Source organism: Homo sapiens, chromosome 9 (genome assembly GCF_000001405.40).
Source record: "Homo sapiens chromosome 9, GRCh38.p14 Primary Assembly".
NCBI lineage: Eukaryota > Metazoa > Chordata > Mammalia > Primates > Hominidae > Homo > Homo sapiens.
Window position 1 is genome coordinate 18,310,413 of NC_000009.12, and position 23,263 is coordinate 18,333,675.

Below are 23,263 nucleotides of genomic sequence, written 5' to 3' on the forward strand. Positions count from 1 at the left end.
GAACAGGCAACCTATAGAACGGGAGAAAAATTTTGCAATCTATCCATCTAACAAAGGACTAATATCCAGAATCTATAAGGAACTTAAACAAATTTACAAGAAAAAACAACCCCATCAAAAAGTGGGCAAAGGATATGAACAGACACTTCTCAAAAGAAGACATTTATGTGGCCAACAAATATATGAAAAAAATGGTCATCGTCACTGGTCATTAGAGAAATGCAAGTCAAAACCACAATGAGATACCATCTCACGCCAGTTAGAATGGCGATCATTAAAAAGTCAGGAAACAACAGATGCTAGAGAGGACGTGGAGAAATAGGAACTTTTTACACTGTTGGTGGGAGCGTAAATTAGTTCAACCATTGTGGAAGGCACTGTGGCAATTCCTCAAGGATCTAGAACCAGAAATACCATTTGACTCAGCAATTCCATTACTGGGTATATACCCAAAGGATTATAAATCATGCTGCTATGAAGACACATGCACATGTATGTTTATTGCAGCACTATTCACAATAGCAAAGACTTGGAACCAACCCAAATGCCCATCAGTGATAGACTGGATTAAGAAAATGTGGCACATATACACCATGGAATACTATGCAGCCATAAAAAATGATGAGTTCATGTCCTTTGTAGGGACATGGATGAAGCTGGAAACCATCATTCTCAGCAAAGTAACACAGGAACAGAAAACCAAACAGCGCATCTTCTCACTCATAAGTGGGAGCTGAACTATGAGAACAGATGGACACAGGGAGGGGAACATCACATACTGAGGCCTGTCAGGGGGTGGGGGGCTAGGGTAGTAATAGCATTAGGAGAAATACCTAATATAGATGAAATATTGATGGGTGCAGCAAACCACCACAGTGTGTGTATACCTATGTAACGTGCACATTCTGCACAAGTATCCCAGAACTTAGGGTATAATAAAAAAAAAAAGTATAATCCTTCAGAATGATATCGTTTTATCACTGTCATCTCCTGCTGAAGCTAGTAGAATCAAATAGCACGTCAATGTGTTTTCCACTCCAGAGTATCAAAGTTACCAAGGGTAGTAGCTGCCCAGTAGCTGGAAGTAGCAGAGTCAACCTGGCTCCATCACATTTATTCAATGTTGATCTGTACTGTAGGTGCTTCCCTAGGCCTGAACTGCTGAACATCATGAACAGATAGAATTGGCCTCAAGTCTCAGGAAGGCTACAGACCATAGAATCCTAATGGGATTCGATGCTGGAATCATTCATGATTTCAATAAGTGTTTCCTGAGCTTGAGCCAGGGAGCCCTGAATGTGTCATATTGACAAGGAGGCAGTCAGTCTCTGCCTTCAGGACTCTCACAGTTCAGTGGGGGAGATTGAAATGGGAACACATTTAAAATATATCTACAACACAGTATTACAAAGGGCTGCAATAAAGATCTCCCTCCTTCTGCCCACAGTGGTCTAGAGCTGTGGCTGAAAAGGCATTTGTCAAGTGGGCAAGGAAAAAAAAATGTATCCCAGGGAGAGGACAGCATGTGGAAAGGCACAGACAATTACATATCTGTTGAATGCCTTTTACGTGCTGTTCTGGGCACTAATGATAAAACAGCAATTAAAGTTCCAGTTCCCACAGAGCTTACATCCTAGTAGAATGAGAAAATGTGCAGTATTCAGGCAATGACAAATAGTTTAGTATAAAATAGGGGAAGTGGTGAAGATGAAATTAGGGGTACAGATTACGGATAGCTGCCATTTGAAGGGTCTTGAAGGACAAGCTTAGGAATTTGAGCTTTAACCTGTAAGGTGGTTCCATGGACTCTTGACTAGTTTATCATCTAGAGGGCAAGATTGGTGGCAACTTCCTGTGGATAAAATTAAAACCACCTGGTATATCTAAAAGCTCAGTAATATTCATCCTGGCATTTGCTTGAGCAAAAGTGCTGGAGTTGATTTTATATCCACTGTTGGATGGGTATTAAGTGCCACATCGTTGTATCTAAGAGGACTTAAAAAGGAGAAAAATTAAAATGAGAGCAGGAGTTACAGGAAATGGCTGCTAAGTGGTGGCCTTATGCACTGGCCTTGGCCTTGAACTTGAGTTGCTTTTGCCTGGTAGTGGTATGGACTGTGCACATAACTTCACCTGAGGTAGCCAGATGGATAACTGAGTATGCTATACCAAGACGTTCCCACTGGGTATTTTAAACATTCCTGGAGCAACACAAAACTTCTGTACAAAGCCTAGAAATGTGTAAGCTGGGAACCAATTTTTCATCCTCAGTTTAAAAACAGAAATCAAACCTGTTGATTCCTGTCTGCCCCCACCCCAGCCTCTCTGACTGTCTTAAGGTCTTTGAAAGTGCCCAACAAAAACTCTCTGCAAAGATGATTGATTGTTTTTAATGGCAGTCACTCTAATAGCTTAGACTCTAGTGGAAAGAGTGTTTTTAATGATATTTATATGAATGATGTGCTGCTTCTGGCCACCAGCCAGTAACGCATGCACTTCTGTTCTTTAGAGTACTAATAAGGGGCACTGATTCATTTACATTTGGCCAAAGACCTGGATTAAAAGTATAGTCTGTGGAGATAATAAAGGTTCTTCTTTTATACAGATCAAACTCATGACTGTGGCCTGAAATAGCTCTTTAACCAGTGATTCTCAAAGTTTTGAAGTGGGTTGGAATGACATGTGACTATTTGAAACACAGATTGCTGGGCTACACTTCCAGAACTCCTGATTCAGTAGGTATGGGGTAAGGCCCAATAACTTGCATTTCTAACTAGTTCTTAGGCAATGCTGATACTGTTCGTCCTCCAGACAACTCTTTGAGAACTATTTTTCTTGTATTCCAAATTTACCTGACTTACCGTAAAAAGAATTTTCAGGGGAAGAGTCCTTAGGTACCGATATTTTTTTAAGGCCCCAGGTGATTCACTGGGAAAAATGCTGTTACCTCACCCCAGGTGAGTTACATGATCATTATTTCTAACAATTTATTTTAACAAACATTTAAAGAAGTGGTTCTTAACTTTGGACACACATTAGAATCATAGAGAGTTTTTAAAAAATACCAATCACTGGGTCAAACCTCCAGAGATTTTGATTCAGTTGGTCAAATGAAGCCTGGCATCTGTCTCTTTTTAAAAGCTCTCCAAGAAAAGGATAGTCTTTCCAACAGACAGTGTTTGAAAAATCAGATATCTACATGCAAAAGAATAAAATTGGGCTCTCATACAGAATTTAACTTTATATTTTTAAAAAACTTAAATGCAACAGTCCTGAAACTGTAAAACTCCTAGGACATGAGCAGTGTTCTAGGAGTTTCCTAGAGGAAAGTATAGGGAAAGAAACCTCCTGACATTGGTCTTGGCAACAACTTGTTTGGTATGACTGCAAAAGTACAGGTAATGAAAGCAAAATAAATGGTAGGTTTACATTAAACTAAAGAGCTTCTGCACAGCAAACAGTCAACCAAATGAAAAGGCAACCTATAGAATGGGAGAAATAATTTGCAAACCATATATCTGATAAGGGGTTAATATACAAAACATATAAGGAACTCAAACAACTTAGTAGCAAAACACCAAATGACCCAACTAAAAAAAATGGGCAAAGGACTTGAATAAATGTTTCTCCAAGGACAACGTAAAAACGCCAACAGGTATGTGAGAAGATGCTCAATGTCTATAATCAGTAGGGAAGTGCAAATCAAAACCACAGTGAGATATCATCTCACATCTGTTAAGATAATTATTATCAAAAAGACAAGAGATAGCACATGTTGGTGAGGATATGGGGAAAAGAGAACCCTGGTTTGTACACTGCTGAAGGGAATGTAAATTAGTTCAGCCAATATGGAAAACAGTATGAAGATTCTTCTCAAAATTAAAAGTAGAACTATTGTGTCCGGAATTGGTGGGTTCTTGGTCTCGCTGACTTCAAGAATGAAGCTGTGGACCCTTGCAGTGAGTGTTACAGTTCTTAAAGATGGTGTATCCGGAGTTTGTTCCTTCTGGTGGGTTTGTGATCTCGCTGACTTCAGGAGTGATGCTGCATACTTTCGCGGTGAGTGTTACAGCTCTTAAGGCGGTGTGTCTGGAGTTGTTTGTTCCTCCAGTCCAGAGTTGTTCCTTCCTCCCGTCCGCAGTTGTTCCTTCCTCCCGTCTGGAGTTGTTCATCCCTCCCAGTGGGTTCATGGTCTCGCTGGCCTCATGAGTGAAGCTGCAGACCTTTGCGGTGAGTGTTACAGCTCATAAAGGCATGCGGACCGAAAGAGTGAGCAGCAGCAAGGTTTATCTCGAAGAGCAAAAGAACAAAGCTTCCACAGCGTGGAAGGGGACCCCAGTGGGTTGCCACTGCTGCCTTCGGCAGCGTGCTTTTTTTTTTTTTTTTTTTTTTTTTTTTTTTTGAGACGGAGTCTTGCTCTGTCGCCCAGGCTGGAGTGCAGTGGCGCGATCTCGGCTCACTGCAAGCTCCGCCTCCCGGGTTCACGCCATTCTCCTGCCTCAGCCTCCCGAGTAGCTGGGACTACAGGCGCCCGCTACCACGCCCGGCTAATTTTTTGTATTTTTAGTAGAGACGGGGTTTCACCGTGTTAGCCAGGATGGTCTCGATCTCCTGACCTCGTGATCCGCCCGCCTCGGCCTCCCAAAGCAGCCTGCTTTTATTCCCTTATCTGACCCTACCCACATCCTGCTGATTGGTCCGTTTTACAGAGAGCTGATTGGTCCTTTTTGACAGGGTGCTGATTGGTGCATTTGCAAACCTTGAGCTAGACACAGAGTGCTGATTGGAGCATTGACAAATCTTGAGCTAGACACGAAGTGCTGACTGGTGCATTTACAATCCTCCAGGTAGACATAAAAGTTCTTCAAGTCCCCACCTGACTCAGGAGCCCAGCTGGCTTCGCCTAGTGCATCCCGCGCCAGGGTCGCAGGCGGAGCTGCCTGTCAGTCCCATGCCAGGCGCCTGTACTCCTCAGTGGCGCCCGTCAGGGAGGCTCGGGCCGTGTGGGAGCCCAAGGGGGAGTGAGGAGGGGGGTGGTTCGGGCATTGGGGGCTGCAGGTCCTGAGCCCTGTCCTGTGGGGAGGCAGCTGAGGCCCAGCAAGAATTAGAGCGTGGCATGGGTGGGCCGGCAGTGCTGGGGGACCTGGCACACCCTCCGCAGCTGCTGGCCCAGGTGCTAAGTCCCTCACTGCCCGGGCCGGCCGCTCTGAGTGCGGGGCCCACCGATCCCGCGCCCACCTGGAACTCGCGCTGGCCCACGAGCTCTGTTTGCAGCCCCAGTTCCCGCCCGCGCCTCTCCCTCCACACCTCCCGGCAAGCAGAGGGAGCTAGCTCCGGCCTCAGCCAACCTAGAGAGGGGCTCCCAGAGTGCAGCAGTGGGCTGCAGTGCTCCTCAAGCACAGCCAGAGTGGACACCAAGGCCAAGGAGGCGCAGAGAGCGAGCGAGGGCTGCTAGCATGTTGTCACCTCTCTCTCTGATCTAGCAATCCTACTTCTCAGTATCAGGGAACCTGCCCCGATATTCATGTAGGTTCTTTTCTATTTTCCCTAAGCATCAGCTGGCTTGAGAAATAAAGGGACAGAGTACAAAAGAGAGAAATTTTAAAGCTGGGCGTCGGGGGAGACATCACATGTCGGTAGGTTCCGTGATGCCCCACAAGCTGCAAAAACCAGCAAGTTTTTATTAGGGATTTTCAAAAGGGGAGGGAATGTGCGAATAGGTGTGGGTCACAGACATCAAGTACTTTACACGGTAATAGAATATCACAAGGCAAGTGGAGGCAGGGCAAGATCACAGGACCACAGGACCGGGGCGAAATTAAAATTGCTAATGAAGTTTCGGGCACCATTGTCACTGATAACATCTTATCAGGAGACAGGGTTTTGAGGGCAACTGGTCTGACCAAAATTATTAGGTGGGAATTTCCTCTTCCTAATAAGCCTGGGAGCGCTATGGGAGACTGGGGTCCATTTCACCCCTGCAGTCTTGACCATAAGAGACGGGCACACCTGGGGGGGCCGTTTATAGGCCTATACCTCCAGGCGTGTATTCTCTTTCCCAGGGATGTTCCTTGCTGAGAAAAAAGAATTCAGCGATGTTTCTCCCATTTGCTTTTGAAAGAAGAGAAATATGGCTCTGTTCCGCCTGGCTCACTGGTGGTCAGAGTTTAAGGTTATCTCTCTTATTCCCTGAACAACTGCTGTTATCCTGTTCTTTTTTTCAAGGTGCCCAGATTTCATATTGCTCAAACACACATGCTGTACAATTTATGCAGTTAATGCAATTATTCCAGGGTCCTGAGGCGACATACATCCTGCTCAGCTGACAAGATTAAGAGATTAAAGTAAAGACAGGCATAGGAAATCACAAGGGTATTGATTGGGGAAGTGATAAGTGTCCATGAAATCTTTACAATCCACGTTCTTCTGCCATGGCTTCAGCCAGTCCCTCCGTTTGGGGTCCCTGACTTCCCGCAAGGAAGATAAAACAGTATCTCAAAGGGATATCTACACCTCCATATTTATTGCAGCGTTATTCACAATAGCCAAGATATGGAAATGACCTAAGTGTCCATGGATGGATGAGTGGATAGGAAATTGTGGAATATATTTACAAATGAATATTATTCAGCCTTTAAAAAGAAGACAATCTTGTCATTTGTGAAAATGTGGATGAACCTGGAAGACATTATGATAAGTGAAATAAACTAAATATAGAAAGGCAAATACCGTATGATCTTACTTATATGTGGTGTGGAATCTAGGAAAAAAGTTAAATCCATAGAAGCAGAGAGTAAAACAGTGATTACCAGGGGCTAGAGGAAGGGATGAGGAAAAGGGTAGATGTTGGTCAAAGGCTACAACTCTCCGTTATCAAATCAACAAGTTCTGGGGGTCGAATGTACAGCATGGTGACTTTTATTAATAATACTGTATGGTTTACTTGAAATTTGCTAAGAAAGTGTATCTTAAGTGTCCTCAACACACACACACACACACACACACACACACGTACATGAGCAAATTTTAACTAAGTTTGGTGATGGATGAGTTAGCTAATTTGATTGTGATAATCATTTCACAATGTATACATTTATGAAATCATCACATTTGTACACCTTGGATATATATAATTTTTGTTTGTCAATTATGCCTCAGGAAAGTTGGGGCAGGGAGCCCTTCAGGTATTTCTCATGTGCAGCCAAGGTTTGGCTGAAAGCCTGCTAAAAGGCCTTTAGTCCCCATCTTCACCAGACTATTTACTTCAGCACCCAGCCTGCTCACCCCGAGGTCTTCCCTTACACCCTTACACCTCTATCCCTGGCCTTGGTGGAGTGCTTCTCCTCTGCAGAAGCAATGTTTCCATCAAAACAGTTGGGACAAGATTGGGATTTAACAGTTTCCCCTGTTAGAAAGTAAACTTCCTGAGGGCAAACACCAGAGCTGAATTTTCCTCTAATCCCAGCGCCTAGAGAACCGGATTTAGCCAGCTCTTTAAGAAGTAAGCAGAACTGTTTTGTTTTCTGTGCTGCTTAGTGCAGGACAATATAGAGCAGATCTGGCTCTGCCCCTTAGCAGCCCAGAACACTGGACATGTTGGATATAATTTTAATCTTGCTGAGCCTCTGTTTTCTTTTCTGTAAATTAGACACCTCTTGGGCTAGTTGTGAACTTTAGAAGAGATGACTAATGTAAAGCATGTCTCATGATGCAAAGTGTGTCATAAGTGATTTAGTAAATGTGGGCTATTTTTATGTTATGCTAATTTGCATTGGTGAGTTCACTGTATGTTCTTCAACATTATCATTATGAGAGAGGTCATAGTTTATCTATACCTAGCAATGCATTTTAGAGAGTGGCCCCAAAGTATGCTTTATGGACGGGTACTTCTATTTTCTTGAGTTCTTAGACTAATGGTTTTCAAACTGTGGTCTGTGTCTGGTCTGGCAATATCAGCACTACCTGGAAACTTGTTAGAAATGTAAATTCCTGGGTGCCACACCAGACCCACTGAATCAAAAACTCAATTCTGAGTAGCAGTAATCTACGTTTCAGCAAGCCTTTCAGAAAATCTGGATAGACACTGAAGGTTACAAGATATTGGCTTAGAAGAACCACTGTTTAAAAACATTTTAGCAACCTGATATACATTCCTAATTCTTTCTGAACCACTGGTTCCTGACCAGAGGAGAGAAGGATGGCACCTCTTCCTTACAGTGGTGTATCACATCTCCAAGGAGCTGATATGATTGGAAAAAGTACCCCAGAGATTCTGATGTCTCCTCTAGAGGCCATGTTTCTCGTAGCTAATTTTTTTTTTTTCAAATATGGTTTTAGGCCATACTTTTGGCAGTGATTCAGATTCAGCAAGTCTAACGGCTGAAGGATATTATATGGATGTGTATTTAAAGGATATTATATGCCAAGCTGTATGCCAAGTGCTTTTATAGATATAATTTTATTTAGTGCGTGTGTCCACAACTTTATTATTGATACTTTACAAACAAATAAAGAGGCTGGGCACAGTGGCTCATGCCTGTAATCCTAACACTTTGGGAGGCCAAGGTGGGAGGATGGCACGAATCCAGGAATTTGAGACTAGCCTGGGCAATATAGCAAGACCCCATCTCAACAAACAATTTTTAAACAATTTTTTCTGGGAGTAGTGGCACGCCTGTACTGTAATGCCAGCTACTCCTGAGGCAGGAGGATCACTTGAGCCCAGGAGTTCAAAGCTGCACTGAGCCATGAAGGTGCCAGCCTGGGCAATAGAGTGAGACCCCAACTCTATTTAAAAAAAAGAAAAAGCCAGCTGAAGATCAGAGAATGTAAGCAGCATGCCTTTAATAACACATAATGACAGAGCTAGATGTAAACTTCCTAAATCATGTGGAAATGTCTCTTTCAATTATATTTATATTTTCCATTTATTTTATGTGGCCTCAGCCTATTGATCTTTGAAATGAATTAAATGCAAAACAGTCTTAATGTAATCATCCTGTTATTATCAATAACTTCACTGCTATGAACTATAGTAATAATATTTCTCCAGCTTCAAAAACCAAGGGATTTAAAGGTAAAGTTTTCTCTTCTGATAATGGCTGACTCTCCCTAGATAACTACGTAAACTCTCAAAAGATACAAAAAATAAAAATCTGAAGACTATGGGGAGAGATAAAAAGCCACCTCACTCCTTGGCTTGTAGCTCCCCCATCCAGGAGGGGGTCTGACCCTTAAAAGAAGAGCACTACGTTTGCTGAGATCCATATCTATAGATTTCACATGGAAGAACAACTATTAAAATGGCAGGTGAGTTCTCACCAGAATAGAGTCTATGGTTGGCAGAATAATGTTCACCTGCCCTAAAATGTGCACATCTTAATCACCTGAATCTGTGAATATGTTACCTTACATGGCAAAGTAAATGTTATAGATGCAATTCAGGATATGGGCATGGAGAAGGGGAGGTTATTCTAGATTATCCTGGTGGGCTCGGCTGGAGTCAGAGAAACATATGAGTAGAAGACAAAAGAGATTTGAAGTGTGATAGGACTTGAAACACTGTTTCTAGCTTTGAAGGTAGAGGATGGGGGAGTTGCAAACCAAGAAATGAAGTGGCCGCTAGAGTTGAGAACAGCCCTCATCTGACAGCCAGCAAGGAGACAGGGACGTTCATCCTGAAAATGCAAGGGACTGATTTTTGCCAAGAGTCTGGATGAACAAGAAAACAGATTCTTCCCTAGAGCCTCCAGAGGGAGTAATCCCTGCCAATACCTTGATTTTCACCATGTGAGTTGCTAAGAAAAGGAACAGTTAAACCATGCTGTACCTGAACTTCTGACCCACAGAACTGTGAGATGATAAATTTGTGTTGTTTTAAGCCACTAAGTTTGTGGTAATTTGTTATGGCAGCATTAGAAAACTGATGCTGAAGAAAATGCATCAATATCTTTAAAGTCCTGAGAGAAAAACAAGTCCACATATAGTTCTATATCCAACAAAAACATCCTTCATAAATGAAAGTGAAATAAACACATTATCAGATAAAGGAAAGCTGAGAGAATTTGGTGCCCGCAGATCTACAGTGTAACAACTGCTAAAAGAGTTCTTCAAGATGAAGGGAAATGATAGCAGATGGAACTCCAAATCTAGAGGAAGAAATTATAAATAAGAGGGTAAATACAAAAGACAGTTTTCTAAATTTCTTTTAAAAATAGCTGGTTTTTAATGCAAAATTCCAACATTACATTGTGAGGTGTATAAATGTATGGGAAATATATTAAAATATTAACACAAAGGATGAGAGAGGTTAATGGAATTATGCTGTTGCAAAGTACCTCTATTTCCTGTGAAGAAGTATAATATTAATTCTAAATAAACTGACAAGGGTGTGTATGTGTGTAGTAATATCTAAAAATTTGCAAAAAGATACAGTTAAGCCGTTAGAAAAATTAAGATGGAGTATTTTTTAAAATGTATATTCAAAAGAAGGCAAGAATAGGAGGCAGAAATATAAAAAGATGAGAAATAGAAAACAAATAACAAAATAATAGATATAAATATAACTGTATTACTAATTATATTAAATATTAACTGAATACATGGACAGAATGAATTAAACAGTAACACTCAATTTTACGTTGTTTATATGAAACACACTTTAAACATAAACCCACAAGTAAGTTTTAAGTAAAAGGATGGAAACAGATATGACATGCAGACAAGTAAGCATGAGAAAGTTGGCATGGCTCTATTAATGTCATACAAGGTTCATTTCAGGACAATATGTATCACCCAATATAAAGATATTTTGTAATAATAAAAGAGTTAATAAGAAGACAAAAGTATCATAAATGCATATGAACTTAGTAACAAAATTTAACAATGTAGAGAGCAAAAACTGACATATTAAAGGGAGAAAAAGGTAAAAATCTACAAACATGGTTGACGATTTTTAAATGCTCTTTCTTAGTGTTTGACAGCACAACTAGAGAAAATAAATCAGCAAGGATACGTAAGATTTTATCAACACTGTCAATCACCTTGACCTGATTAACATTTACAGAGCATACAGCCAACAACTCAAAATACATATTTTTGGCTGGGCGCGGTGGCTCACGCCTGTAATCCCAGCACTTTGGGAGGCTGAGGCAGGCGGATCATGAGGTCAGGAGATCGAGACCATCCTGGCTAACACAGTGAAACCACATCTCTACCAGAAACACAAAAAATTAGCCGGGCGTGGCAACAGGCGCCTGTAGTCCCAGTTACTTGGGATGCTGAGGCAGGAGAATGACGTGAACCCGGGAGGCGGAGCTTGCAGTCAGCCGAGATCACACCACAGCACTCCAGTCTGGGCAACAGAGCGAGACTCCATGTCAAAAAAACCAAAACAAAACAAAACAAAAAAAACACAGTTTTAAGTGCATTCTTTTCAAGTGCAGTTGGAGTATTTACCAATGCATCATATGCTATATGATAAACTAAGTCTCAGTCAATTTTGAAAGATTAAAATTTTACAAGATATGTTTTCTGGTGACAATGGAACTAAATTAGAAATCAATAATAATAAGATATCTAGTAAAAACCACCAAATATTTGAAAATTAAACATATATCTTAATCTGAGTCAGGTAAGACATCAATGAGAGATTAATAAATACTGCAAACTAAACTATAATGAAAATGTTAGAAATGGTGGAATGCAGCCAAAGTATTGCTTAGAGATTTATAGACTTAAAGAATAAGAAAGGTTTAAAATCTATCAGCTGAGTTGCCCCTTTAAGATTTTAAAAGAGGAAGAATACATTGAACCCAAAATAAGTAGATAGAAGGAAATAATAAAAATAAGAGCTAAAACCAATTATATAGAAAAAAATTAAGTTAAAGTCCAAACTACAATTTTTAAAAGATTAATAATTTTGTTAAACCATTAGCAGTACCAGGTGTGGTGGCTTACACCTGTAATCCCAGCACTTTGGGAGGCCGAGGTGGGTGGCTCATCTGAGGTCAGGAGTTCCAGACCAGCCTGGCCAACATGGTGAAACCCCGTCTCTACTAAAAGTACAAAAATTAGCCAAACGTGGTGGTGGGCACCTAGAATCTCAGCTACCTGGGAGGCTGAGGCAAGAGAATCACTTGAACCTGGGAAATAGAGGTTGCAGTGAGCCGAGATTGTGCCACTGCACACTCCAGCCTGGGTGACGAGAGCAAAACCCTGTCTCAACAACAACAACAACAAAATAAAGCAAAAAGAAAAACCGTTAGCAATACCAATAGAGGAGACAAGAAGAAAGAAAAAACACAAATCACCAATACCAGAAATAAGAGTGGTTATTATAGATCCATAGATAGTAAAATGATAAAAAAGAGTATCATCAACAACTTTATGCCAATAAATATAGCAACCTAGATAAAATGCATACATCAATGCAACTTTAAAATGTTACAAGAAAAAATAAATAGAAAATATCAATAGCTCTATTTCTATTTCCCTCACAAAACAACACACCAGGCTAGTTTGTTTAGACTAGTGAGTTCTATGAAGCATTTAAGGAAGAGCTAATACCAATCTTACACAAAATCTTTCAGAAAACAGAGGAGAGAATACTTCCCTATTTGTTTTGAGACCAATGTGACCCTGATACAAAATCTGAGAAAAAAGCATGCTGCAAGAAAGGGATATTACACATCACTGTATCTCGTAAATGTTTGCAAAATTCTCTAACAATGTGTTATAGATCAAATACAGCAATATACTAAAAAAGATTAATAGAACATTAGCAGCCCAATTAATCCTAGGAATGTAAGGTTGGCTTGACATTTGAAAATCAATCAATGTGGCATACCACAATAAGAGAATTAACAAAAAAACTATAGAATCAGCTCAATGGAGTAATAAAAATTATTTGACAAAGTACAACACCCATTTGTGATTTAAAACTTTTGGCAAATTAGAAAGAGAAGGAACTTTTTAAATCGGATAGACAGCATATAAGAAACCTAAAATTAGTATCACAGTTAATGGTAAAATAGTAAATCCTTTTCCCCTTAAATTAGAGCAAATCAAGGATGTTTGCACCTCTATACAATATTTTACTGGGTTATTAAGTCAGCACAAAAAGAAAAAAACCCATAAAATTAGCAAGAAAGAAGCCAAACTCTCTTTATTGACAGACAGCATGGCTTTATTGTCCTAAATCATCCACAAAAACATTTACAAGTAGCAAGATCATAGGAAACAAATTCAGTATACAAAAATCAGTTGTATTTCTGTATACTATCAACAAATAATTAAAATTTAAAAATACTTTTTTCAATAGCTTTAAACATATGAAATACATAAGGGATACATTTAACAAAATATATGCAAAACCTTAGCACCTAAAATCAGAAAGGACTGCTTTGAGAAATCAAATAGGCCTAAATAAATGGAAAGATATGCCATGTACGTGGGTTGGAAGATTCAAATTGTTAAAGATGCCAACTCTCCTCAAATTGACTTATAGATTCAGTGCAATCAACTTAAATTGCAACAGGCTTTTTTGTAGACATTGACAAGCTTATTTTGTAATTTATATAAAAATGCAAAGGGCTCAGAAGAGCCTAAAAACTTTTGAAATGAAGAATGAGATTAAATAGGATTTATACTACCTGATTTCAAAACTTAAGGTAATAAAGGCAGTGTGATATTATACTGAGAAGAGACAAAATAGATGAATGAAGCAGAATTGAGACCAGAAATATAGCCATATGTATATTTACTTTTTACAAAATCATCAAGTTAATGCAATGGGGAAAAGAAAGTCTTTTTAACATGTATCCTAGAAAAAAGTGGATAAACATATGGGAAAAATGAACATTGATCACTACTTCACACTCACACAAAACTTAATTCAAAATGGATGATGGGCCTAAACCTAAAAGCTAAAAATATCAAGCCTTTTGTAATAGCATAGGAGAAAATCTTGAGTATCATTGTGAAACAGAATACGCAAAGATTTTTTTTTTTTTTTTACAGGGAGCACAAACAGTATTAAACATAAAAATGAAAAAATAACACACTACATCAGGCTAGGTGCAGTGGCTCATGCCTGTAATCCCAACATTTTGGGAGGCCAAGGAAGGCAGATCACCTGAGGTTGGGAGTTTGAAACCAGCCTGACCAACACGGTGAAATCTCGTCTCTACTAAAAATACAAAATTAGCCTGGCATGGTGGTGTATGACTGTAATCCCAGCTACTAGGGAGGCTGAGGCAGGAGAATCACTTGAACCCGGGAGGCGGAGATTGCAGTGAGCTGAGATCGCGCCATCACACTCCAGCCTGGGCAACAAGAGCGAAACTCCATCTCAAAAAAAAAAAAAATACACTACATCAAAATTTTAAATGTATCTTCACCAAAAGACACCATTATGAAAATATAAAAGTAAGCCACATACTAAGGGGAAATATGTACAATACATATCTGATGAAAGACTTCTAAATCAATAATAATGAGGTAACCCAATTTCTTAAGTGGACAAAAAAACTTAAACACTTCACAGCGAAAGATATATGGACAGCCAATAAATATATAAACAATGTTATCAGCAGCATTCATCAGGAAAATGCAAATTATAATCACAAGAAAATATACACACTCAGTAGAATGGATATAATTAGAATACTGACATCACTAAGTGTTAGCAAGAATGCAGAGCAACCAGAATCCTCATCTGTTGATGATGACTATGTGAAGTGGTATAACCACTTTGGAAAAGGTTTGACAATTTCTTATAAAGTCAAACATACACCTACCCTATGACCCAGTGATTCTACTTTTGTATATTTACCTAAGGGAGATGAAAACATAACATCCACAAAAAGACATGCACAAAGTGTTCATACCAGTTTTGTTCAAGCCAGCCTAATGTTGGAATCACCCCAAAAGTCCATCAACAATAGAATGGGTAACACAGTTGTGATGTATTCATACCACACAGTATGACTTAGCAGTCTAAAAATAACTATCATTACATACATATTCATGTGGATGAATCTCAAACGTTATGTTGAGTGAAAGAAGTCAGACACAAAATAAGATACACTATTGGATATATGTAGGATATATATTAGTCTGTTTTTGCTGCTATAGCAACATACCACAGACTGAGTAATTTAAAAAGAATGGAAATTTATTTCTCACAGTTCTGGAGGCTGGGAAGTCCAAGATCAAGGTGCTAGCCTCTGATCTGGTGAGAGAGTATCCTTGCTGCATTCTCACATGGCAGAAAGGGAAGATAGTGTAAGCTAGCTAGGTGTTGCCTGAAGCCTCTTTTAAAAGGACCTTTGTTTTTTTTTTTTTTGAAACAGAGTTTTGCTCTTTGGCTTAGGCTGGAATGAAGTGATGCAATCTCTGCTCACTGCAACCTCCGCCCCCAGGATTCAAGCGATTCTCCTGCCTCCGCCTCCCGCGTCGCTGGGATTACAGGCATGCACCACTACGCCTGGCTAATTTTTGTGTTTTTAGTAGATACAGGGTTTCACCATGTTGGCCAGGCTAGTCTTGAACTCCTGACCTCAGGTGATCCACCCACCTTGGGCCTCCCAAAGTGCTGGGATTACAGGTGTGAGCCACCATGCCCGGCCTAAAAGGATCTTAATCCTAGTAGAGAGGAAGCAGCCCTCATGGCCTAATGACCTTGTAAAGGCCCCACCTCTTAATGCTGTCATAGTAGGAACAACTGAATTTTGGAGAGGATCAAGTTTCAACATGAATTTTGAAGGAGTCAAAAATATTCAAACCATAGCAGCTGTGATGTACTATAATAAGGCAAAACTTATCTATAGTAATTGGAATCAGAACGGTGATTACCTCTAAGGAGGAGGGCTTAACTGGAAGGAGGCACCAAGGAATTTTCTGGGGTTTTGGAAATGTTCTGCATCGATTGTGGTGGTGATGTGGATGTATTTTTTATCAAAATTCATCAAGTTATACACTTAAGATGTGTGCCTTTTTCCTATATGTAATTTTTTACCTAAAAAAAAAAAAGTGGAGATGGAGAGGAGTCAACAATTTGAGACTGGTTGCTATACATTTTTTAAAAAATAGGTCATAGTGTGCTGGCATGCTTTGTATTTTACTAACTGTAAGAAAATACATTTTATTATACATTTGACATTTAATATATATCAGGCATCTTAAATATTAATCAAAAATTGATTTAGAAACATTAGAACCTTAGCACATTCCTCTTGAGTAATGGATTTTCACACATTGGCCTTGCATGGTTCCATGCATCCCTTCCCCCTTGGTAAATGAATGCAACCTATTGAGGCTGTTTTGCAGATCAGAGCTTCATTTTCCATATACTTGACCACTTTATAGTATTTGAGTATTTCTCAGAATGCATTTTTCCTAATGTGGAGCTTTTATATGAGAATGTCTCTAATATAAGGCTACTTGCCATTATTTAAGTGAAATATGACCTGTTGCTTGCAACTGGATTTAAATGCTAAGTCAACCTTGAACAAAAAATTGAGACCAGTTAAATATTTTTTCAAAAGCCCTATTTTGGCTAATACAAAGGAAAATAAAAAGCCAATAGAATTTTATATTTAAGATCTGTTTAGCAAGTAGGGAATGATTATTTGGTTTGGAGTTGAGAGAAAATTTAGCGAAAGCTGATAAAAAAATTTTCAAATTACTGGTACTCTCCTTTTGAGTTTCATGGTAGGTCATTTTTAGTTATATGCAGCTTCTTTCTAAAGAGCAGTGACACTCTTGTTTCTGTAATAACTGGGCAGAAACCTTTGCTGTTCTGATATTGCATTTTACCAAATCAACTGAAACATAAATAGAATTAGATTTATGGGTGTTTGGCATGATGTCACACTATGGTTATGCTACTCTTGACCTAAATGATCTATTCCAAAGGAATGAACTGAGGAGACGCGTTAATGATCCCAGAGTAGAGTCAGGCCCTATGGGCATACTTTCTCTTTATTTTGGGGTATTTAGAAGCTGACCTTTCAACTCAAAACTGGGTTATCTGAGATCTTTCCTTGGCAGAATTGAAAGTCAATCAGCCCACGTAGGCATTTTTCCCCTCTTATCTGTGCAAGGTAACAGTATGTTCTCCTCATTTGTAGATGTAGATACTATAATAGCAACAAACTTGGGGACTTGGGGTTTCTAAAGCCACAGAGCGAGGCAGAGATCACCAATAGTTACACTTCAGGTTCCCAGTTCTTGTTCCAATAGTTTAATGTTTGTTTTGTTAGGCAAATGGACTTATAATCAGTTGATATGAGTGCCTTTGAGCTAATATAAGGGTGATTATAAAAGGTCTTGACTGAAAGCTTAAAGAGTTATACACTGAGTTTAAATAACCCAAAATAAATCCAATTAGGAAAAGAAATGTTAGGCAGAAATATAGCTTGCTTACCATTCTAACCAAGTTGGCTTTTCATTTATTCATTCAACCATGATATTTAGCTGTGTAGATTGTGGAAGCTCAAAGATATTTAAGATGGTTTTCCTGTTTTTTGTTTGTTTGTTTGTTTTTTCCTGTTTTAAAGTAACATATACTCTATTGTAAGAAAAAGAAATCCACACTGGAAAGCTTGAATTAAGTAACAGGACAAGATTCAAATAATGTTGTAGTACATCTCTCAAAGAAGTGTTACAAGTCAAAGATCATCAGAGATTATGCAGATTTTGAGAAGGAAACTGAATATCCAGGAAGAATTGAATCCTGTTTGCACAAAGTGCTTGCCTGGGTACCACTTCAGCTATTTATCCAATTTGTTACTTTTCACTGCTGTGGAGAGTGCATGTGTGTTCTCAGCCGAATATAATGACCCGCAGTTCTTATTATATGTATGTTTAATGGCTGGAGCTGCCTGTTATAACTCTTAACACAATGCATTATAATCAGTTATTTTCCTGTTTGTCTCTTTTTCTATATTCAATGTCCCTGAGGACATGAACTGTGACGTAACACCAACCAGCATTTATTAAGCTCTTACTGCATACCAGGTGTCATTTTAAATTTCAAGTATTTTCCATGTATTAACTCACTTAGCCCTCCTAATAACGTCATAACATAAGTATCACCCCATGTTTAGAGATGAGGAAATTGAGGCATGGAGAACTGAAGAAACATACCCAGAAGGGATAGAGAACATGTGGCAGAGCTGGGCTATGAAAACAAGCAGTCTGGCACTAAAAGATCATGCCTTAATCCATACACTGTGCCGCATCTCATCTTAGTGTCATTTGTGCCTAAAATAATGAGTGACACAGTATCATTGGCTAGATGAACACGTGGATGAGGAATAGTTTGTATAACTATGAGTTTTTAAAAGGCATCTGAGTATTAATAGAAGCACATGGGAAGCAACTCCAGAAAGGGTCACTGACCCTGGAGGATACAGAGTATACAGATGGTCCCCAGAAATGACAGGATGTCCCCAAACCATGGATGTCCTTATGCTTTTAGTCCTTCCTCTATTCCTCTCTGTAGCCACAGTTTACATTTTAGCTTGGATGATTGTCCAATCAAAGCTTTTTCAAAAAACAACCCCCCACCCTTTGCTATAGTCTGAATGTTTACATCCCTCCAAAATTTCCTATGTTGAAAGCTCATCCCCAGTGTGAGGATATTTGGAGGTGGGGCCTTTGGGGAGTGGTCAGGTCGTGAGGGTAGAGCCCTCATGAATGGGATTAGTGCCCTTATAAAAGAGACCACAGAGAGCTCCTTTGCCCCTTCTACCCGTGAGGACACAGTGAGAAGATGGCCATCTATGAAGCAGGAAGTAGGCTGTTACCAGACACTGAATCTTAATCTTGGGCTTCCCAGCCTCTAGAACTGTGAGAAATCAATTTCAGTTTTTTATAATACACCCTAGTTTCAGTTGTTTGTAATACACATTAGCCTAAACAGACTAAAATACCTTCACACTCACTCAAGTATTAAGTTCACGAAGAGAAATCTCATGGATATAAGTGGAAGAACATTTACTGGGATAGAGAAAGAACCAATTCCTAGAGATAAGAGTGTGACCCAAGGAGTCCTCCAAAACGTGTCCACTACAAGAATGTTAAATTTATACTTTTAAATGTTATGAAGTAAATGTCACTGGAGGATTTGTTATGTTTTTCTCATGGTTTAGGGACCTAAACTACTCAAATGAAGGCAGTACTTAAAACCCCTCATTCAAATAGGCAGTGGCTTATCTTTATCAGCCACACTAACCTTGTCATGTCCTGCAAGGAATCAAGCCATGTATCCCAAGTGCTGCGGCCAAAACCAAAGTTTTCATGTCTTTCCTCTGAATATATGGTATTCATCCATCAAAGCATTTATTTCCTCACTTATGTATGCATTCATTCATTCATTCATTCAGCAACCTTGCTATTCTTTGTTCTTTGCTTTGTATTTGCCACGGCTGGCACCAGGCAGTGCATATGCAGTGGCTAGCAGAACAGTCTCAGGCCATGATTTCTTGGAGTTTACAGTTTAGTGGTGTCAGTATATAAACATGTGTCTTAGTGATTATCTGTATATGTCATATGTAATTCTTAGGCATTTAATTTCTGAGTCTTGTTTTCTCATCTGCATAAGGGGGTTAAAACAGGTCTGGCCTTTTTCACATGATGAAATGAGACTTAATGTCAATAAAGTTCCCGATTTTAAATGTAAAACATAACCCAGAAATAAAATGTCCTTATTTAATCAGTTAGCTGACATAGATAATGTTGATACCTGGAGCTATCTTGCAAGGTAGTTTGGAGGACAAGAGAGAGTTTGTGAACCACTTGACACAGTTAAGTCTTCAATAAACGCTGCCTATTATTCTCAGTGTCATCAGTTGTTCAGAAATCACATATTAGGACTCAGTTTTCCAGATTATCTTCCTTCTACCCTTTTTCCTTCTCCCTGATCCTGCCACTCTTGCATCCATTGGCATTGTAGCCACCCCCTACAGTGACACAGTTGAGGACTGCCTTCCCAATCTGTATTCTGTGCTCCATCATAACCTTCTTTGTTTCATCAAAAAAAAAAAACTAAAATCTCTCATCCTATTCCCTCAGGGTCTTGCTTTCCATGTGGATGCCCGAGGCTGATGTTATCATTCCGAGATGAATTCTGTTGGTTCATTTGTTGTATGCCAAGTGTGTGCCAGGTGTTTTATCTCAAGTGTTCCTCCCAAGCAAATCTTATTTCCATTTTATAGACATGTGGGATATTATCCCAAATTCACAGAGTAGAAAGTGGCAAAACTGGGATCTGAGCTCTTTCTGCTGAATATAACACCTAGTGACTCCCTATAGACAAATATGAGTTATAAAGAAATACAACCTTTAAGATATGGCACTAAGCAAACCAATAGTTGGGGATTATATTTTACAAAACACATGGCTTTTGTAAAAGCAAATGCATAAAACTGCTGATTAACTGTTATTTACTGAGCACCAGTTACATGCCAGGGACTGTCCCAGATTTTCAACATACAGAGATGGATAAGCAGGATCTTGCTCAAAGAAGCTTACGTAGCTGGAGGAAGAGAAGTGAAGATAAAATCATGTGACTATGAAGTAATTCAGCCTCAATTGGGTATGGCATAGTCAGGGCATATTTCACGTGTAGGTTTTGGTGGAGGGTGCTCACAAACAGAGGAAGGAGAAAAAGTGGATCCAGGATAAAGTAAACAGTGTGAGAAGGCAACAAAGGTGTAAGACAAAGGAGCTGTTTGAGGACTGCAAGAAGGAATGTGGCTCAATAGAACAATATGTTCATGGAGAAGAGTGAGACAGGATGCTAAGGAAGTGTGTTGAGGTAAGCCAAACTGACAGAAAGGTCTTTGATGCTATGCTGAGGCATTCAGACTTGAGTCTATAACCAGTGAAGAGCCATAAAAAGTCTTTGTTTAAAACTGTATTTTAAAATAATAGCTGTGTGAGTATCATCTATCCCCACTGTGTTGGCCTATGGTTTTTAAGATACCACACATCAAATTGTGCCTCCCTCCTGGATATACTGCAGGGTAAAACCTTAGTATAATTCAGTCTGAATGAACAATAGTAATTAGTCCTGAACTATGCCTTGCTGTTATAATACAGTGCACATGGTGATAGCAAATAAGCCCCCAGGGACTCATAAACAAAATGAATGAATTATTGAAGTCCCTGTACTAATTTTATCTCTGGTGTAGAGGTTGAACTATCCATTAGAGCAATTCTAGGAAAAACAAAAACAAAAACAATTTGCCACAAGACCCCAACTTTTCTATCCTATTGCCACCTTTCCTTTCTATCTTGAATTCTATTTGAAGCTGTAGCTTTCCTAAATCAGATGCTAGAGTTTTAGTAGCTATGCATCAGTAGCTCTGGCATTGCTTGGAGTCTTCCTTAATCCAGCAATGGAACTAAAATGAAAATAGAATTACCAAAAGGGCAGATGCAGTATCTTATATCACTTTTATTATATTATATTTTAGCCACTGAGACAGGAGGGGAGAATATTATAGAATCAGCTTGCTGCAGTCTCGCCTGTAATTATATTTTTCCTTGATAAGGCATTGGCAAGTAGCCCACCAAAATATTGATGTGAAACTTGATCTCTCAGGGATGTGGAATTTCTCCAGCCCTGGGATTGAGACTGAGAGGTTTTGGAAGTGTTTGGCAGCTGTAGTAAATTCAGGAGCTGGAGGCAAGGAACAATTCTTCTAGCACAAGCCCAAAGTCAATATATTATATAACTACAAAAGGCACACTCCTCACTGTACTTTTATACTCTTCATTGGATCTTGTCCAGACCATGTTATCTTACATAGATGTAAACATACACTTTATGTACTATTTGAGAAAAACTGAGAGTCCTATAAAGTTTTTATAATTTTATATTTAGGGATGGGTATGTTAATTATAAGTAAAAATGAGGATTCAGAATTTCCCTCAAAATAAGGAGTGAAAAATTATCTGCATGCCCCATTTTATCACATAGTTTGAGTTTTGCCTTCTCTTGCTATCTTTTTTATACGCACCAGTCCAGTTTTCCTCCTTTTTTTAGAGACAAAATCCTGCTCTCTCACTCAGGCTGGAATATAGTGTTACAATCATAGCCCCCTGCAGCCTTGACCTCTCAGGCTCCAGCAATCCTCCTGCCTCAGCCTCCTGAGTAGCTGGGACTAAAGGCGCATGCTACCAGACATGGCAATTTTAATTTTTCCTTTTTTCAAAAAATTTGCTACAATATGGACGTACAGCATCAATAGAATTTGTTGATAACTACACAGTTATGGTTATAAGTTAAGTTATTTTAAATTAGAGCCTATATAGTTATTTCCCTAGGTGAAACTGCAGGCATTGTATCCTCTGGCCCATTGAACCGCCAGAGTTCAGTAAGAGTGTGTCAGAAGGCTGCTGGCAGAGTGAAAAGAGCATAAGGTTGGGATCCAGACACACCTGAATTTAAAATCCCAACTCTGGCACTTATGACCTGCATGAGCTTAACGAGCATCTGAGTCTGTTTCATCATCTGTAAGCGTATGAGGAATAAAATGGTATTATGTACAAGAAGCACCCAACCATTGTTGGCACCTAGCAGGCATTATTTTCTCCCATTTTCTTTTCTCTTTCCCACTTCAGAATGGCCAGAATACCAGGAAATTTACCTCACAGATTATCTAGCAAGTAAAGGATTTGGTGATCAAGGTTTTCAAAATGGCTTCAGGTGTGATTATTATTTTTATTTTTTTATGTTGCCATGTATTTATACCAAGTGATATGGTTTGGCTGTGTCCCCACCTAAATCTCATCTTGAATGGCAATCCCCATAATTTCTGTGTATCTTGGGAGGGTCCCAGAGGGAGGTAATTGAATCATTGGGGCAGTTTCCCCCATGCTGTTCTCATGATAGTGAGTTCTCAAGGTATCTGATGGTGTCATAAGCGTCTGGCATTTCCCCTGCTGGCACTCATTCTCTCTCCTGCCTCCTGTGAAGAGGTGCATTCCACTATGATTGTAAGTTTCCTGAGGACTCCCCAGCCATGTGGAATTGTGAGTCAAACCTCTTTTATTTATAAATTATGCAGTCTCGGGTGTTTCCTTATAGTGGCATGAGAATGGACTAATACAGCAAGCCAATTTTGTAAAAATGACTTCAGATAGCTTTACAAATAAATTCAGTTGGTTGAATAAATGATAGTACAGTAAAAAGTTAGAGAAACAGGGACAAAATACTCTAAACCAGTTGCTGTAACTGAGTACAATATTT

The 23,263-nt window shown here is 39.4% G+C and overlaps 1 protein-coding gene across 11 annotated transcripts in view, besides 1 other annotated feature; it reads left to right on the plus strand.

The window, feature by feature from the left end:
• ADAMTSL1 (ADAMTS like 1) overlaps positions 1–23,263 on the plus strand; it is a 1,004,318-nt gene that overhangs the window by 403,780 nt on the left and 577,275 nt on the right. The window contains exon 1 of one of the 11 annotated variants that reach the window (XM_017015313.1): positions 22,705–22,720. The exons of the other annotated variants lie outside the window; for them this stretch is intronic. The gene's annotated coding sequence lies outside the window, so the exon portion shown is untranslated. Of the gene's footprint in view, positions 1–22,704; positions 22,721–23,263 lie in introns of those variants that run through there. 11 annotated transcript variants of the gene reach the window in all.
• Positions 22,652–23,215: an enhancer, noted in NCBI's record as "OCT4-NANOG hESC enhancer chr9:18333062-18333625 (GRCh37/hg19 assembly coordinates)". NCBI's record gives its function as "activates a minimal SCP1, AML or CMV promoter by ChIP-STARR-seq in primed H9 embryonic stem cells {active_cell/tissue: H9 hESC(primed)}" and the evidence as "EXISTENCE:reporter gene assay evidence [ECO:0000049][PMID:30033119]".